This window comes from Homo sapiens, chromosome 16 (assembly GCF_000001405.40).
Source record: "Homo sapiens chromosome 16, GRCh38.p14 Primary Assembly".
NCBI classification, from domain to species: Eukaryota; Metazoa; Chordata; class Mammalia; order Primates; family Hominidae; genus Homo; species Homo sapiens.
This window is the reverse complement of record NC_000016.10, coordinates 88,598,924-88,616,991: the sequence shown is the minus strand read 5'-3', so window position 1 is coordinate 88,616,991 and position 18,068 is coordinate 88,598,924. Positions and strand designations below refer to the sequence as shown.

Below are 18,068 nucleotides of genomic sequence, written 5' to 3'. Positions count from 1 at the left end.
TCCCGCTGCACGACTGTGCCCCCTCTCGTGAAGCTTGGGGTGGTGAAGTGCCTGCTATAACGAGCCTGGGCCGCGCTTCAGACCAAACAAAAGTGACTGCGCTTCACTAGGGTGTAGCCCCCATGCAAGGCCTAGCCCTGGTGCAGCCGTGCTGGACACTGCAGAGCCCCTCATTCGTGTTCTGCTTGGTAGCTGAAGGCAGAATCTTCCCAAATGGATCTCCCTGGGTAAAACTGTGTCATTTTCTTCCAGTTTAGGTGAGAAAAGTTCTTTCTATCCACCTAATGATTACAAACTCCCAACCTGCCAAAGACCCACCCATTCAATACGTGTATTACTGCAAAGGGAATTCAGCTGCTCCTGAAAAGGCAGCCAGGCCAGTTCTGGCTGATAAGGGAGAAGGAAGCAGGAGCACTGGCTGGAAATTCTGCGCTGGGGAAACCCTTGTCCTCCAGGCAGGTAGCGGGCCTGGCAGGGCTCCCGCAAAGGTGAGTGAAGCCAAGACCGGGGACTCCCCAGCACCCGGAAGCCGGCTGAATGAATCCAGGCAAGCGACGCAGAGAACGTCAGCCCTGCTGCTGGCAGCTCCGAGAAGGGGCTGAGGGCAGCCCCAGGAGCACAAGCAAGTGCTTCAGGAAGGAAAGAAAGGGACGTGAGCCTCGCAGAAGGGAAATGAACCAGGTCAGAAACAGGTGGGAAGAGCGGCTCGGCCCAGTTTGGTGAGAGCAGCTGTGTTTGATTTTAAGAAAAACTCATTTAGTACAGAGTTTCCTGAACCCTAGCTGTGAGCCCAGATCAGGCCAGACAACGTCTGAGCACCTCCCAGTCCCTTCCTGAATGTAAGACTCCTCTGTGAAGCTGAGGGCTCAGGGGCTGGCGATGGCAACCTGCTGCCTGGTGGCCATGCTGGCAGAGTTACCCTCTCCAAGCCTCCTGGGATCCGTCACCCGCTTTCCTCTGGGGAGGCTGAGCACACAGGAGACGGGCACAGCAGTCGGGAATCTGCCCTCCCATTCCGCGGGTCACTAAAGTGCGGGCCACAGCAGAGGAACACAGCAACCTTAGGCATGGCGGCCCTCTAACGCGTACTCCAGAAGTACATTCTTGTACACAGAAAACATCCCTGAGTTGGAATTACAGACTCCTGACTGGGAAGAGCCCCCGGCTGCTTAGAAACAGGCAGAATACATGACTAGGGGCTGGGGAAGGGGGTCTGTGGCCAGGCACGTGTGCCCATAAGCCACCAAAGTGGACATGCTGACGGACTCATAAACCCAGAGCCACACAGCACAGTGACCTTCCACGTGGATATCACTGCCTTTCTATGTCTCTGCTTCTAAAACCAATGATCTGGGTGGCGTGAAAACCCCTATTTTGTGAATCTGGAAAGCAGACTCAGCTGGTTCTGTTTGTAGAAATCAATGTGCAATTTTAGCAACCCTGTAACAATCAATTATGACATGCAGGTAAAAATGCAGGCTGATACCAAATCCAAAACTCACGGACAGCACCCCCAAATGTGGGTAAGCACCAACCTGTGCGGGACTCTGGGACAGGCACAGAGGCTGCAACGGGGAGCAGGGCAGACGGTGGTGCCCCAGGACCATCTGCTGCAAGGGCTCCAGATGGGCACTGAGGGCCATGAGGAACAAGAAAGCAGGCTGGCAAGCAGGAGGGGATGGGGAGACTTCCCTGTGCAGAGGAATCTGAGCAAAACCCTGGAGGAGGTAGAGGCAGCCCGTCCGGGCAGAGGGAACGGAGGAGGTGGGGGCAGCCTGTCAAAGGCAGAGGGAACGGAGGAGGTGGGGGCAGCCTGTCAAAGGCAGAGGGAATGGAGGAGGTGGGGGCAGCCCGTCCAGGCAGAGGGAACGGAGCAGGTGGGGGCAGCCCGTCCAGGCAGAGGGAACGGAGCAGGTGGGGGCAGCCCGTCCAGGCAGAGGGAACGGAGCAGGTGGGGGCAGCCTGTCAAACGCAGAGGGAATGGAGGAGGTGGGGGCAGCCCATCTGGGCAGAGGGAACAGGAGGTGGGGCAGCCCGTCCAGGCAGACGGAATGGAGGAAATGGGGGCAGCCCATCTGGGCAGAGGGAGCGGCTGGGGGTGTGTGCACGGGGTGCTGGGCTGCACCTTTGCAGTGGGGTCTCAGGGGAGAAGGCAGCCTTAGGCTGAGTGCACACTGAAAATACTGTGTGTGCTGTAGGGGAAGGGCTTCTATCCAAAAGGGCTTGAAAGGCTGAAGAAGGCGGCACAATGTCAAGGTCAATGACGGTTTCCCCGTTTGGATGACCATGTAAACTTCAAAATAACTTAGAGATTACTGTAACATAAAAGGATTAAAAACATCTGAAATATGTCACTTATTCTGAATGTTCTTTAAGAAGATTACTTTGCCTAGTGTTAGGAAAGTATGACAAATACAGCACATTTAGGGAAGTCCATTCACTGTGAGCTGGAGAATGAAAACAGTCAAAACTGGCACTTGCCACCGGCTAAGCAGCAGCTACAGCCATGAGTGACCCTGAAACAAAGGCCTGCGAAGTCCTGCCTGAGAGCTGACTTTCAGAAAAGCGTAGATGACTTGTGTTCCACTGTACACAAGAGCGGGTGTCGTCCAGCCACACGGACAAGATGAGGAGGACAAGGGGCTTGTTTTTGTCCCGTGGTGGAAAGCAAATCCTTCCAGAGCCACAGTCGCAGGTCCTGATGGCTGCCAGGTCTCTGAGGGGAGCATGAGAACTGTGGCCCCTCCAAGTGTGGCCACTGTGTGGCTCCAGCCACGAAGCTGCCCATGCCTGCAGGTCTAGCGGAGTCCAGTGTTACTGGAAGGTGTAGGCCCAAATGTGGATTTTTATGAGAGCCAAGTCAAACAACATCCCTGAGTTGGAAGTACAGACTCCTGACTGGGAAGTCCTGCAGGCCATGGCCCTGGAAGGATCTCGGGCTGTTTCCCAATAAGGAACTGCCTTGATCCCTCCTTGCATTTCACCCCCACGGGGACGGTGACACAAACCAACCCTGAGACGGAGCAACGTTCATGCTCTCATCGACACCCCCCCTTTTTTTGAGACAGGGTCTCTCTCTGTCACCCAGCCTGGATCAAAGACCTATGTGTAAGAGCTAAAACTATGAAACTCTTAGAAGAGAACACGGCAGTAAATCTTTATGACCCTGTATTAGTCAATGGTATCTTACATGACACCAAAACCATAAGCAACAAAATAGAAAACATTAATTGGAACTGCACATCATGAACCTGATAAGGGACTTGTATCTGGAATACATAAAGGACTCTTACCACTCAATAATAAAAAACAAAAAATGAGCAAAGGATCTGAATAGGCGTTTCTCCAAAGAAGATATACAAATGGTTGATAAGCACAGAAGAAGATGCTCTCATTATCATCCATCATCAGAGAAATACAAATCGCAACGGCAGGGAGACGTCACACCCACCAAGACGGCTGTCATCAACAAGACGGACCGCAGCAAGTGCAGACAAGGATGCAGAGAGATGGCGCCCTCCTATGCGGCTAGCGGGAATGTAAAAGGTGCAGCTGCTCTGCACAACAGTTTGAGGGTTTCTCAAACAGCTAAACATAGAGTGACCATGTGATCTAGCAATTCCACACTGAGGTATATGCTCAAGAAAAATGGAAACCTATGTCCACACAAAAACTTGCACACAAATTCACAACCACAACAGCCAAAAGCTGGAAACAACCCAACGTCCATCAACAGACGAACAGAGAAATGCAATGCGGTGCATCCATGGAGGAATAAAGCACTGACCCACGCTACAACGTGGACAAATGTTAAAAACGCTCGGAGTAGAAGAGGCCAGTTACAAAACGCTGTGTATTGCACACTTCCGTTTCTACAAAACGTTCTGAATGGGCAGATACCTAGAGACACAAAGCTGCTAAGAGACTGGGAAGTGTGGGGAAAATGGAGAGTGACTGCTGATGGGTACAATGTTTCTTCTTTTTATTTTGAGACAGAATCTTGCTCTATTACCCAGGCTAGAGTGCAGTGGTGCAATCTCAGCTCACTGCAACCTCAACCTTCTGGGCTTAAGTGATCCTCCCGTATTAGCCTCCCGAGTAGCTGGGACCACAGTGGTGCACTACCACGCCCTGCTAATATTTTGTATTTTTTTGTAGAGACGGGATTTTGCCATGTTGCCCAGGCTGATCTCAATTCCTGAGCTCAAGCAATCTGTCCATCCCGGCCGCCCAAAGTGCTGAGATTACAAGAGTGAGCCACCGTGCCCAGCCTAGATTTTTTTAAAACAATTTTTAATTTTTTTTTTTTTTTAGATACAGGGTCTCACTTTGTCATCCAGGCTGGAGTGCAGCCGTGCGATTGTAGCTCATGGCAGCCTCCAACACCTGGGCGATCCTGTAATCCTCCTGCCTTGGCCTCCCGAGTAGCTGGGACCACAGGCTCATGCCACCTCCCCCAGCTAATTTTTAATTTTTTTTTTTTTTTTTTAAATAGAGATGGAGTCTTGCTTTGCTACCCAGGCTGGTCTCAAACTCCTGGCTTCAAGCAATCCACCTGCCTCAGCCTCCCAAAGTGCAGGGTGCAAGTGTGAGCCACCGCAAGGTTTCACTTTAGGGGGCAAAAGTGCTCTCATGTTGATTGCGATGATGGCTGCACAACTCTGTGAATATTCTAGAAACCACTGATTGTACACTTTAAATGGGTATGTTGCAGCGTCCATTAATTATATTTCAATAAAGTTGTAAAAAACACCCACCAAAAACATCATCCAGTACTCTAATGTCCACTGACGCCCATCCATTCTGCTCTAACAGTCAAGTATATTTGAGAGAAAAAAAGGGCTGTCCTGAGCCCCAGCGCCTGCCTGTCTCATGGGTCTTGACTGTGCCCCCAGCAGTTGGCAGCAAGGATCATTCTGCACCCAAGGCACCCACTCCGCAAAGGAAAAACAGCAGCCCGCCCGGCCCTCCCCTGCATGCTGGCTGCTAGAGTGCCTCACCCTGGCCAGCAACACGGATGCCCCACAGCACCTGAGCCCAGTCCCAAGCTCTGGGGGCCAGGCATGCTTTGGAATTCAGAACTCTCCTGAGAACAGTAACATGGTGCCCAGGGTGTGAGTTACACACCGTGCGTGGTATACAAGGGCAGCGCCTATTAAAACACACCGATGTTTGCACGTGGACTGTAAGCATTTTCACATCAGTGAGATCCTCTAGAATGAGAACAGCCTCCCAGGAGCTCAGGGCAGATGTCACGGCCTTGGGAGTTTTACAGAAAGGCCCTGCGTTGGAGAGCTCTGGGTTTGGAACTATGGGCTCGGGCTGTGGGCCTGCACTGGTCCCCTGGGCTCCAGAGCTGTGGGCCACAGAGGGGAAGCGCAGGCCAGGGGGACTAGGTACAGAGCTGCATGCCGGACCTCCCCCACACCCCTGGGCTTCAGGAAGCAGGGTCTACCTTGGCGGCTGCGGGGAGCGGGGCTTGGGCTTCCCCTTCTCCTTCTCCCGCTCCTTCTCCCGGTCGCGGTCACGGTGCTGCCGGTCCTTCTCGTCCCGCTTGGCTCGCTCACGCTCCCACTCCTCCTTCCTCCGCTGCCGCTCCTTGTCGCGCTCGCGCTCCCGCTCTCGCTCGCGCTCCCTCTGCCGGCGCTCCCGCTCTCGGTCCCGCTCCCGCTCCCGCTCGCGCTCGCGCTGTCTGTTCTCTCTCTCTCGCTCCCGCTCCCTTTCCTTTGTTAAAAAGCCAAACACATGGGGACACCGTGCGTTATTTGGGTGACAGAGGCACTGAAAGCCTTGGCTCCAACACCACGCGATCTGTCTGTGTCACAGAATCACACCTGTACCCCACAAACCTACACACAAAACGCCAAGTGCTCCCGACTATGATTGAACTCTCTGCGGTGGAGTACAGAGGAGATGGCAAGAGAGAGGCAGGATCAGGGAGCACCCTCAAGTGGGGATCTCATCTCATTCCCAGCTCTCTCCTTAAAACACAATGTTAAAAACCGGGTCAGATGCCAAATTAGAGCAAACACAAACTAGGAGTGAAATCATCCCAACCACCAATTCTAGACTAACTCAGGGCAGCAATTCTGCAGTCACAGCCCGGTGTCGTTGGCACAGATGGCCTTCCGCCGTGTGGCCTGGGCAAGTCCATTTGTCCATCCAGAGACGGGAGTTCCAGGCTTGTCCCAGGTAGGTGCAGCCACAGCAGAGCACATGCCCTGCCTCTGGAGCAGAGCAGGCACCCAAAAGACTGCTCCTCTTCTTCTAGTACAATCCTCGGATGCCCTTTCCAACTTTTCCTCTGCTCTTACTCATTCATTTGCTCTAATATTCAAGGTTAAAACTGAATAAAGTCCAATCACAACGCACCTGATGGGTTTCAGGCTTGAGGCCTCTGTTGGGGAGATGCAGGGTGCACCCCGAGCCTCCCTGCTGCCCCTCCCTCGGACACAGCAGAGAGGAACGCAGTGGAAAGGGATCCCTGGGGCTTTCTCCCACCTTCCAGGGTACCCTGCCCAGGGGTAAGCAGCAGGACCCTGCAGCCCACCTGCAATGAGGAAGCTGCTTTATGGAGAGACGGGGCACAAGAGCATCGAGCAGGGGGACTTTTCTGGCACGATGGGGCCCTCTTCCCTCTGCAAGCTCACCCTGATGGGCTCCTGAGGAGACAGCCGCACCTGGTCCTCAAAGCTCATGACTGTCCCTGCAGTCACAGAACAGAACTACACAGCAGCTTCTAACTGACCCTTCCCTGGGGCAACTTCGTCAAATCACCCTAACAGCTAAGATGAGGAACTCACAGTCTGAAGCACATAACTCATCAATATGCTAAACTCTGAGGCTCAGACCAGGGAGATTTCCAGGGCGGAAATCTCAGTATAGACCAGTCTTCCATGAGAGCAGTGAGGTGCAGCAGGCCCGGAACAGACTTAACAAGCTGGCTGAAGTGGACCAGAACAGGCGCCACATCCTAAACGGGATCACTGAGGGGTGGGGAAGAGTGACACGCCCGAGCAGGGAGACGCAGGCACCCCTGGACACAGGCATCAGTAAGTATACTGGCAAATCTCATTTTCAAAACCAGGCCGAGCTGGGCACAGTGACTTATGCCTGTAATCCCAGCACTTTGGGAGGCTGAGATAGGCAGATCACCTGAGATCGGAAGTTTGAGACCAGCCTGACCAACACGGCAAAACCCTGTCTCTACTAAAAATACAAAAAATTAGCCAGGTGTGATGGTGGGCACCTGTAATCCCAGCTACTCAGGAGGCTGAGGCAGGAGAATTGCTTGAATCTGGGAGGCAGAGGTTGCAGTGAGGTGAGATCACGCCACTGAACTCCAGCCTGGGTGACAGAGTTAAACTCCGTCTCCAAAACAAACAACCCAGGCCGGGCGCAGTGGCTCATGTCTTTAATCCCAGCACTCTGGGAGGCTAAAGCAGGCGGATTGCTTGAGCTCAGGAGTTCAAAACCAGCCTGGACAACATGGTAAAACCCCGTCTCTACAAAAAAAATACAAAAAAATTAGCTGGGCATGGTGGTGCATGCGTGTGGTCCCAGCTACTCGGGAGGCTGAGGATGGAGAATCATTTGAACCCAGGAGGTAGAGGTTGCAGTGAGCCGAGATTGCACCGCTGCACTCCAGCCTGGGTGACAGAGTGGGACCCTATCTCAAAAAACAAACAAACAAACACCACACAAAAAAACAAAACCATAGCAAGAACCAGTTTTCAGGCAAGTCTTTGTTCAAATGACCATTAATGTAATCGCTGCCTCTGAATTCGTTCTCCGTAACAATCAATTTGGTTTTCAAATTGGTACATTGTGCTGGCTCTATAAGCTCATATAAAGCCCTGTATTTTTTACTGTAAATAAAAAGGGATAACTTGAATGAACAGATCATGAAGTTCATATGTGGATATTGAAGTCATACTTACTCGGTAATTATGATACGGCTCTGTTTCTGTATACTGCACCCTGAAATTCTCATACTGTCCGCCACGCCAAAACCGCTCAATTTCATAGTCATAATAAGGGTCTGCGTAAGGCTCGAGTCTGAAAAGGGCCAATGAAAAAGAACTCTCATCACTTAGGAGCACTGGCGTAAAAAGACCACACGAAACATTAGGGACAGAAAGTAACAGACCGTGACGCAGTGGGGTTTACTCCAGGAGCGCAAGGTTGGCTCAAGGTTAGGAAATCTGTTCACAAACTACATCTAAGAGCAGGCCAGAAGTCAAAGGGTTCTATTCACAGATGATAAAAATGTCTAACAAAAATTCAATAGCCTTTTTGATAAAAAATACTCAAGAAAATAGGAAGTGAGGGCCAGGTGTGGTGGCTCATGCCTGTAATCCCAGCACCGTGGGAGGCCGAGGCAGGTGGATCACCTGAGGTCAGGAGTTTGAGAGCAGCCTGACCAACATGGAGAAACCCCTTCTCTACTAAAAATACAAAATTAGTTGGGCGTGGTGGCACATGCCTGTAATCCCAGCTACTCAGGAGGCTGAGGCAGGAGAATCACTTGAACCCAGGAGGTGGAGGTTGCCATGAGCCGAGACTGTGCCATTGCACTCCGGCCTGGGCAACAAGAGTGAAACTCCGTCTTGAAAATTAAATAAGAAAAAAAAAAAAGGAAAGAAAATAGGAAGTGATACTTTAGCATGATAAAAATATACTGACACACTTTGGAACAAAAGTCAGCACCTTACTCACTGGGGAATAGGAGGAGCTCCCCCAGGAGTCTCCGCAACCACCTGTCCCTGTGTGGAGGCACCCCCTGACTGGACAAGGGGAGCCCACTAGAGGCACAAGAACACGAAAACAAGGAGCAAAACGAGCTCAGATTTGCAAAATGATATGATACTATACATGAAAAACCCAGAGACTTGATAAAGCCAATTCAAACAAACAATGAAGAAACTTGGAAAGGCAGAGGATAAAAAAATTAACATAGAAATCAGTGTCTTCACAGACACAGATTATAACCAGTTAGGAGGCAGAGTGGAGAAAACCGCATTTACAATAGCAAGAAAGAAGAAAAAAGTACTTAGGAATAAAATATCAACACATTTCACCAGAAATGTGCAGAGCTGATTCCTGAGAGACACAAAGTGTGTGTGAATAAGTGGGGAGACGCCTGAGAGACATGAAGCGTGCGTGAATAAATGGGGAGACGCCTGACATGAAGCATGTGAATGGGGAGATGCCTGAGAGACATGAAGTGTGTGTGAATAAATGGGGAGATGCCTGAGAGACATGAAGTGTGTGTGAATAAATGGGGAGACGCCTGAGAGACATGAAGCGTGTGTGAATAAATGGGGAGACACGTGACATGAAGCCTGTGAATAAATGGGGAGACGCCTGAGAGACATGAAGCGTGTGAATAAATGGGGAGACGCCTGATACAAAGTGTGCATGAATAAATGGGGGTTTTGAAACCTGACACAAAGCGTGCATGAATAATGGGGAGACGCCTCTTGCACTGGGAGAGCGCAGCTCGGAATCGCCCACAAGTCAGTCCTTCCTACACTGACTGATAAATTTAACACAATCCCAGCAAAAACACCAATGAGCTTCTTTAAGGAGCCAGACAAGCTGACACCCAAGTTCACATGAAAAATCGCACCCCAAGAACAGCCAAGAAAACCCTGGAAATGAAAAGACACGCCAGACACGCCCTCTGAGACATTAAACATCCTAAAAAGCCTGTATAATTAAGCCAGTGCCATCGCAGCACATGAAAACCGGCGGCCAGAAGGAGGAGGCAGGAGGTCCAGAGGCAGACCCAGGCACGCCCAGAGAGGTGGCATCTCAGGGACAGAGGGGATTCTTCATTGAACAGGGAGGGGACGACTGTCCAGCTGCTGGGAAGGTCAGGCTCTCTTCCCCACTGCGCACAGGGTTGGGGGGGGCCTGCTCTAAACTCCTGGCGGGGCCCACAACTCTGCATCTCCTTTCCTGTGGAGCAGAGGAAACAAAGTGTACACTAGCAATAGGAGGTCCCTGGACGCCCCTCCAGGGTATGTCTCAGCCACAAGCCAACCCTCTGCTTCGGGTAGACTGGGTGGGAACCTGAGGCATCATGGCTTGAGGTGGCTCCAGCGATGGGTGGCTACGAACACCCTCGAGGCCTCCTCAACTCTCCACATGGCCTAGAACTGGCTCTCCCAAAGGACACAGCTTCAGTCCGTTCCCATCAGTCGGACACCGTTCAATCTAATGTGCACACTACTCAAATCACACTGAATTATAACACTCAGGAAACATTTGTAGAGACCTGTGGCAATATGACATCAGGCTACATAAAAACGAAGAGGAAGCCTGGACAGCACGCGAGACACCGTCTCTACAAAAAACACATCAGCAGCCAGGTCTGGTGGTGCATGGCTGTGGCCCCCAACTACTCGGTGGGCTGAGGCTGATTGCGTAAGCCCAATAGGGTAGAAAAGCCTTTCCCAAAATGTGTGAGGCGTGTGTTCTCTGACAAGAGGACTGTGCCGGCAAATTTGTTTTTGGGAAACTGTACTTAAGCAAAATGAAAAGGCCTCTTTCCTGCAGGCTTTCTGGAAGTCGTGGATGAGCGGATAGGAATGAGGCACACAGCATTTCCTCAGCGTGGCTGCCTCGGAACCATCTGCTCCGCAGCATGCGTTCTAGAGAACGTGTCAACACAACACGCCACCAGGAACTGCAACCATGCCAACAACGGACTCCTCAGCACCATCCTGAAAAATTCTGAAACACTCTTGAAATGAATTTGGAAGGTATTTAATTCAATTTAAAAATAAATGCTACTGGGCAGTATCATGGTATGCACAAACTCTTCCCCAACTGTTTTAGGGAACCCAAAATGTTAATGGGCCTTTTGAGAAAAGGGTTCTGTGGTGAAGCAAGGTTGGGCAAAGCTGGCTCGCAGCAACTGGGAGGCTCGCACCTCGTTCTGCAGTCACCACTTAACCAGCCAACACCAACAGTGTCCTGTGCACACACGTGGAATCTGCACTCCAGAGGCCCCGCGTCCCCAGAGGTCTGGGCAGCGTCAGACTCAGCACTGGCACGTGGAGTGGACCTACTCCTCGCTGGAGAGGAGAACCCGAGGTCCTGGCTAAGGGGAACCATTGGACATGCCCATCAGGGGCAGGTGGTTTCTGCCCACAGCCTTGCCCAGGGAGAGGCATGGCAGGTGAAAAGTCGAGCAATTAGAGAACGTGTAAGACAGAAGTTTGGAGCTTCGAGATCACTTTGTTTAACCATTTCATTTCAGTGACAAGGAAACTGGATCTCAAAAAGTACTAGGAAAAAGTTCTAAAATGTCTAACACTACTCACTTTTAATCTAAGGGTTATGCAATATTACACAATGAAATGCAACTTGCATTTGCACAATTCAGGTTGAAATCGTGCTGACCTCAACCCAGGTGGAGGGAGGCTGTGCTCTGCAAAGGGTGGGAGTCAGATGCTCACGTGTCCCTGCTTGCTGCAGAGACCCAAGGTGAAAAGGAGGGTCCCAGGCAGCTCACAAAGGGAGCAGCGACGCAGCCCCCTGCTGCCTCTTGCCCTCACCCCAACCCAGCATGGTCGACCTGGTGCCCACCTGCCTGTTGCCCACGTTCCTGTTGCAACGCTGGCCACTGAAAGTGCAGGCAGGGGAGGAGGTCCCCAAAGGCATGCAGAGGCCACAGGCAATGCCTGGGCACCCATACATCCATCTGCCCTGAGTCTGTGGGACTGTGGGCTTACCCATGTGGAGCAGGCCCTGTCTTACTCTCCAGGTAGCCCAACCCTCCCTCCCTGCTCACTCAGGGGGCTTCCCCACAGGGCACCAGCAAATCCCAGGTAAAAGCCACTTGTGCTCTCTCAGTTAAGCATCTGGGACAAAGGAGGTGCTGGACCAGCATCTGGTAGACCTGTTACCTGAGGAAAGGGAGTGTGCTTTTTGAAAATTACTGTTCTGTTTCCTCTGTATCCCAGCCTGACATCCTACTCCAAAGAACAGCAGCCTGCACCTCCGCCTCTAATACACCGGCACTGCACTACTCTCTGTGCTGGGGGCGTATGGGGAGTTGGCAGGGGCCCAGTCCATGGCCCTGGCCATGGCCTGACAGCCTGACTCTGATTTAATCAGAAACTCTGTTCACGGTGGGGCTACTACTGATGACCGCATTTCTCACAGGTGACGTCCTGTGCGCACTAGAGGCCCTTGTGTCTTTTGGGTCACATGTCCCTATTAGACTTGTAGAATATTCTGGGCACAGCATCCCCAGGAGCCCTATGCAGAGATGACATTTCTTTTTTTTTCTTTGAGATGGAGTCTTGCTCTGTCGCCCAGGCTGGAGTGCAGTGGCGCCATCTCGGCTCACTGTAAGCTCCGCCTCCTGGGTTCACGCCATTCTCCTGCCTCAGCCTCCCGAGTAGCTGGGACTACAGGTGTCCGCCACCACGCCTGGCTAATTTTTTGTATTTTTAGTAGAGATGGGGTTTCACCATGTTAGCCAGAACGGTCTCAATCTCCTGACCCTGTGATCTGCCTGCCTCAGCCTCCCAGAGTGCTGGGATTACAGGCGTGAGCCACTGTGCCCGGCCGTCATTTCATTTCTTAATGTCTTACATATGTGAGAACTTTTTTTTTTTTTTTTGGAGAAAGAGTCTCACTCAGTCACCCAGGCTGGAGTGCAGTGGCACGATCTCACTTGCTGCAACCTCCACCTCTCGGGCTCAAGAGATTCTCCCACCTCAGACTCTTGAGTAGCTGGGACTACAGGTGCGTGCCACCATGCCCAACTAATTTTTGTATATTTTGTAGAGATGGGGTTTTGCCATGTTGTCCAGACTGGTCTTCAACTCCCGAGCTCAACTGATCTGCCAACCTTGACCTCCCAAAACACTAGGATTATAGACATTACTAGCTACTGTATCCAGCCAATATGTGAGGTTTTATAAGTCAGATGGTACCTGAACAAAGTGCTTGAGGTGGTAGAAACGGAATATTTAAAGCTGCGAATCAGAGTGCGTCTGTCTAGCAAAGTATTATTATTATTATTATTTTAAGAAATGGGGCTGGGCACGGTGGCTCACGCCTGTAATCCCAGCACTTTGGGAGGCCAAGGCCGGTGGATCACAAGGTCAGGAGATCGAGACCAACCTGGCTAACATGGTGAAACCCCATCTCTACTAAAAATACAAAAAAAAAAAAAAAAATTAGCCGGGCATGGTGGCAGGCACCTGTAGTCCCAGCTACTTGGTAAGCTGAGGCAGAAGAATGGCGTGAACCCAGGAGGCAGAGCTTGCAGTGAGCCCAGATTGCGCCACTGCACTCCACGCTGGGCGACAGAGCCAGACTCCGTCTCAAAAAAAAAAAAAAAAAGAGACGGAGTCTCGCTCTGTTGCCCAGGCTGGAGTGCAGGGGCATGATCTTGGCTCACTGGCAACCTCCGCCTCCCAGGTTCGAGCAATTCTCCTGCCTCAGCCTCCCAAGTAGCTGGGATTACAGGTGCATGCTGCCACGCCCTGCTAATTTCTTCTGTATTTTAGTAGAGATGGGGTTTCACCGTGTTGCCCAGCCTGGTCTCAAACTCTTGAGCTCAGGCAATCCGTCCGCTTTGGCCTCCCAAAGTGCTGGGATTACAGGCGTGAGCCACCGTGCCCGGCCACAAAGTATTATGTTTACTAAGTGATCCTGCTAGGTCAGTTTTTAATTCCAAAAGAGATATAAAGAAAAAACAGGCCAGGTGCGGTGGCTCACGCCTGTCATCCCAGCACTTTGGGAGGCCGAGGCAGGCAGATCACGAGGTCAAGAGATTGAGGCCATTCCTGGCTAACATGGTGAAACCCTGTCTCTACTAAAAAATACAAAAAATTGGCTGAGCGTGGTGGCGGGCGCCTGTAGTCCCAGCTACTCGGGAGGCTGAGGCAGGAGAATGGCGTGAACCCAGGAGGCGGAGCTTACAGTGAGCCAAGATGGCACCACTACACTCCAGCCTGGGTGACAGAGCGAGACTCCGTCTCAAAAAAAAAAAAAAGAAGGAACAACAATTTTCTTGTCCTTTATGTCCTCAAGACTTCTCGAAAAGTCCTCATATTCCACTGGTTCTACAATGAAGTGCCTAGAGCTCCATCCTGTAGTAAGCAAAGCCTGCCTGCATGAAGGTGCTTCTATGTGACAATTATTTGCAAAACTCAACATCAGGTGGCTAACGTCTATATTCCCAGCAACTTAGGAGGCTCAGGCGCGAGGATTGCTTGAGTCCAGGAGTTGGAGACCAGCCTGAGCAACATAGCAAGACCTCATCTCAAAAAACCAACAGAAAACTCTCGACATTAGGAAATAAAATAACATGGTATCTTCAGAGAATTTGTGTCCCTGGAATTACTTACAATCAATGGTTCTCAAACTTTAATATGCATCAGAATTACCTGGAGGGCTTGTTAAAAACAAACCACTGGCCTGGGCTCTCCCTGGAGTTTCAGACTCAGTCTTCCTGGGGTCGAGCTAAGAATCTGACCTCTCACATGCTGCTGGGGGCAGATGTGGCTGAGGTTAAGGCACCACACCAGGAGGTCACAGCTATCAATCCAGGTTGCACTCTCCTCACCTGTGAGGCAGGGACATGGCCCTGACCTCGGCCTGCTGTGACCCAAAACAGGTCAGGAGCACTGGATGCGAAGCCTGTCATGCAGCAGGATTGCAACACATAAGTGCTGCTGGCTTGGCCTCTTCTGTGCCATTAAGGCCCTGGAGCCTGACCGCCAACTGGGCTGCCAGCCACCCTCCTGCACACCCTACAAGCTGCGACCTGCTTTGCCAGCTGTTCCAGGTGAGGCCCTGCCTGCAGCGGGCACAGGTAGGACCGAGAAGGCTGGGTGACAAGAGGACCCACTCCTGCCAACAGCACGCACCAGGACATCTGCACTTGCAGTGCAGCTCCTTCCTTCCCTCCGGGTCTCAGCAGCCCAGCTGTACTGGCTCCCTCTACTCACTGTTTTCCTCTGTAGCAACCTACCTGGTGGACCCACCCTTCCCTTAGATGCTCTTTGTGACAATCATAGGGGGGTCTCCACCCTCCTGGCAGAACCCTGACAGTTCTTTCCACTGTGTCTATCAGAAACAGCCAGGGCACCTCGCCACTGTGACACATGCACCCTGACCCTGTTCCCAGAGGTCCTGACTCACCAGGTCTCGGGGGAGGCATGGCACAAAAGGCCTCAGGTTAACTGTAACATACACAGAGGCTACTCTATAAAAACAAACAAAATACAAACATACAGAAATACCTGGCTTTCAGACACCAGTGAAAACCTTTCAGCCCTGACTGCCGAGACTTTAACATTTGGGGGTCCTGCAGTGTAGATACCGGCTCCTGGGAGAGAAGCTAGGGAGCCAGGAGCCAGCTTCTGTCACCTGGTGCCAGGATGGGAGACACCTGTTTCTGTAACCAACACTGATAGGTAAAACACACACAGAGGGCACTCCAAAAAACCTCAGAGACCTGCCGAACCACTTCCAAGCAGGCAGTTTTCCGGTCCCTGCTCCAGCCAGGGAAACTGGAAATAGAGTGTCAAGGATCACGCCCAGGTTCTAAAATCCATCCTTCCCCACACATATTTATAGAGACCTCTGTGCACACGAGCTCTGGGGAAGGAAAGACGATATCCACATCTAACAAAAAAACACAAAGGCCTCCAGGGCTTCAGGAGACACCCCTGGTGATCCTGCAGAGTTCTGACTCAAATGCTCCTTTCTGTGATCTGACATTCCACACAAAACTTAATTAGAAAATGTACATGTTAACCAAGTCTTTAAATACCTATCCCTTTAACCTCTAAGCTCTCACCTGCTGGGGCAGGTGTGGGCCACTGGGGCTTCCTCCCCCAACTTCCGCAGGCGGAAAGCCCAGGGTAGCCTGCTCGCGGCAAGAAGGCCTTGAGAAGGGCCTTGCAGGGCCAAGTCGACAGGACCAAATCCTGGAGTGCAAGCCCTGCACGCCTTCCTTTTTTGAGCACCGTTTATTGTCACTCCAGATAGAAATCATAGTGATTATGATTCCCTAATAGCAACCAGAAATGTACAGGGCTGCTAAAGCCTCAGCATGATGGAGTGCCAATTCAGATCTGCCCGAATTATAATCCAGTTCCCTGCCCTGAACCTCACCGTGCCATCCACAGGCAGAGGAAAACAGCACTTTATATGCCATGCAATCCCCCAAGATCTGACTTCCACCCTTCGACCCAGGCACTTCTTCTGTTAAGACAGGATTTTTAAAGACCAGGCATAAAGGGGCTGGGTGCAGTGGTTCACGCCTGTAGTCCCAGCACTCTGGGAGGCAGGCGTGGGTGGATCACTTGAGGTCAGGAGTTCGAGACCATCCTGGCCAACATGGTGAAATCCATCTCTACTAAAAACACAAAACTGAGTTGGGTGTGGTAGCAGACACCTGTAGTTCCAGCTACTCAGGAGGCTGAAGCAGGAGAATCACTTCAACCCAGGGAGGCGGAGGTTGCAGTGAGCCAAGATTGCGCAACTGCACTCCAGCTTGGGCGACAGAGCAAGACTCTGCCTCGGGAAAAAAAACCAAAAAACAAAAACCAGCCATCAATGCCCTGGAGGAGAAGCAGTGAAGGCAGAACAGCCCTGACAGCGAAGAGGCCGCAGCTGTTGTGTTCCTGGCTTGTGGCAACCTCCACACGTTTCCTGGCTCCTGGGTAATGTGGGCAGGGGTGAGGAGCCAGAAACACAGACTTGTGGGGCTCTAGAGGCCTCAAGGACAGCAGCGAAAACTCTCAGAGCTCAGGAACCACAACGGTGTGAGTGCTGCCAGTCAAGGCCCATGGCACAGAGCCCTAACGCTTCCTTCCTAGAAGCAAAAAACTGAGATGAGCTCTGAGAACCGTGCCTGAATGCTCTCAGGAACGTCACTGAGACTCCAGTGAGTGGGGCTGGGTCTCAGCCGAGCGCACCCTGGGGCCCTGCACATGGCTGCTCTCTCCGGAGCGTGGCCGCATGCAGGAAGGAAACGGAGGGGCAGGCAGGGCCATTCCTTACACTGTGTCTCTGACATCTCTCGGGATCCGAGAATTCCAATCTCGAAAAACTTCATTTTCTTTGTCAAATTCCCGTTCGTCTTCGCCAATGGTCACCGTAAACCTTTTCTCTTCAAAATCAGGCTCCTGTTCTTTTCGAATAGTTGCTTTTTTTAAAACCTACCATTGTAAGAAGAAAGAAGTCAACATGGAACAGAATACCGGGCGTCGCTGTTAGGAAACACAAAGGGAGCCGTCCCACCCGACCGCAGCAGCCCTGCAGGAGCAGGAGCTGCACGCTGCAAGTGCTCAAGGGGTGAGGGGCGGACACAGCACAGTTGTCCTTCTGGGGAGGGCAGTCTGTGCCCGTCTCTGCACAAACAGCTGCCCCCGGCCTCCGTGTGCCCACATGAGGTGTTCATCACTTCCTTCAACTACCCTTGGAACTAGATCCAGGGTTCAGTCACTCAGTGACAAGCAGCAGGTGGAGTGGCTGGAGTCTCAGAGGGAAGGAAGTGACATGCCGAGGGAGTGAGAAGGAACATCTTGTCCGTCATTTCCCAGCAGGGAGGCTGACCAGGAAAATGAGGAAGTGGGGCTGGGTGCCAGCAGAGTGGTCCCCAGAGCTGAAGCTCACACACTGGGGCCAACGTGGGCCTAGAGGGAGGAAGTGTGCAGTGATAGGACCAGAAAGCTCCAAGTTTTCTCCAGGAAGAGCAGACACTGAGTCTCAGGAGTGTGGGGTGCAGATCCTGGGGGTGCGGCTCGGGCAGCCTCGCCAGGCTTTCTGTGAGTGGCTGGAGACTGCACCCTGTGCTCCTGGGCAGTGCCAGCTGGGGTGTGGCCCAGTGCTGATCCAGCCCCATGAAGACAGTGGGTATGCCCTGGACTGAACTCCCTGGCCTACTGGGCTGCTGCCTGAGACAGTTAGATATAACTCTCCATCCTTCCGGGCCTGGTGGCGCATGCCTGTAATCCCAGCTACTTGGGAGGCCGAGCAGGAGAATCACATGAACCTGGGAGGCGGAGGCTGCAGTGAGTCGAGTT

The 18,068-nt window shown here is 52.0% G+C and overlaps 1 protein-coding gene across 11 annotated transcripts in view, besides 2 other annotated features; it reads right to left on the bottom strand.

The window, feature by feature from the left end:
* The window catches only part of ZC3H18 (zinc finger CCCH-type containing 18), a 61,562-nt gene that overhangs the window by 14,973 nt on the left and 28,521 nt on the right, over nt 1-18,068 (bottom strand). For 4 of the 11 annotated variants that reach the window (NM_001294340.2, NM_144604.4, XM_047433609.1 and 1 more), the window contains 3 exons: nt 17,044-17,201; nt 7,941-8,058; nt 5,456-5,724 (listed from right to left, as the gene is read on the bottom strand). In NM_001294340.2, coding sequence (NP_001281269.1) covers nt 5,456-5,724; nt 7,941-8,058; nt 17,044-17,201 — 545 coding nt within the window. Of the gene's footprint in view, nt 1-5,455; nt 5,725-6,372; nt 6,551-7,940; nt 8,059-17,043; nt 17,202-18,068 lie in introns of those variants that run through there. The other 7 variants (XM_011522863.2, XM_047433612.1, XM_047433613.1 and 4 more) reach the window with 4 other exon arrangements.
* Nucleotides 5,902-6,847: an enhancer, noted in NCBI's record as "H3K27ac-H3K4me1 hESC enhancer chr16:88676553-88677498 (GRCh37/hg19 assembly coordinates)". NCBI's record gives its function as "activates a minimal SCP1, AML or CMV promoter by ChIP-STARR-seq in primed H9 embryonic stem cells {active_cell/tissue: H9 hESC(primed)}" and the evidence as "EXISTENCE:reporter gene assay evidence [ECO:0000049][PMID:30033119]".
* Nucleotides 9,341-9,841: an enhancer, noted in NCBI's record as "H3K27ac hESC enhancer chr16:88673559-88674059 (GRCh37/hg19 assembly coordinates)". NCBI's record gives its function as "activates a minimal SCP1, AML or CMV promoter by ChIP-STARR-seq in naive H9 embryonic stem cells {active_cell/tissue: H9 hESC(naive)}" and the evidence as "EXISTENCE:reporter gene assay evidence [ECO:0000049][PMID:30033119]".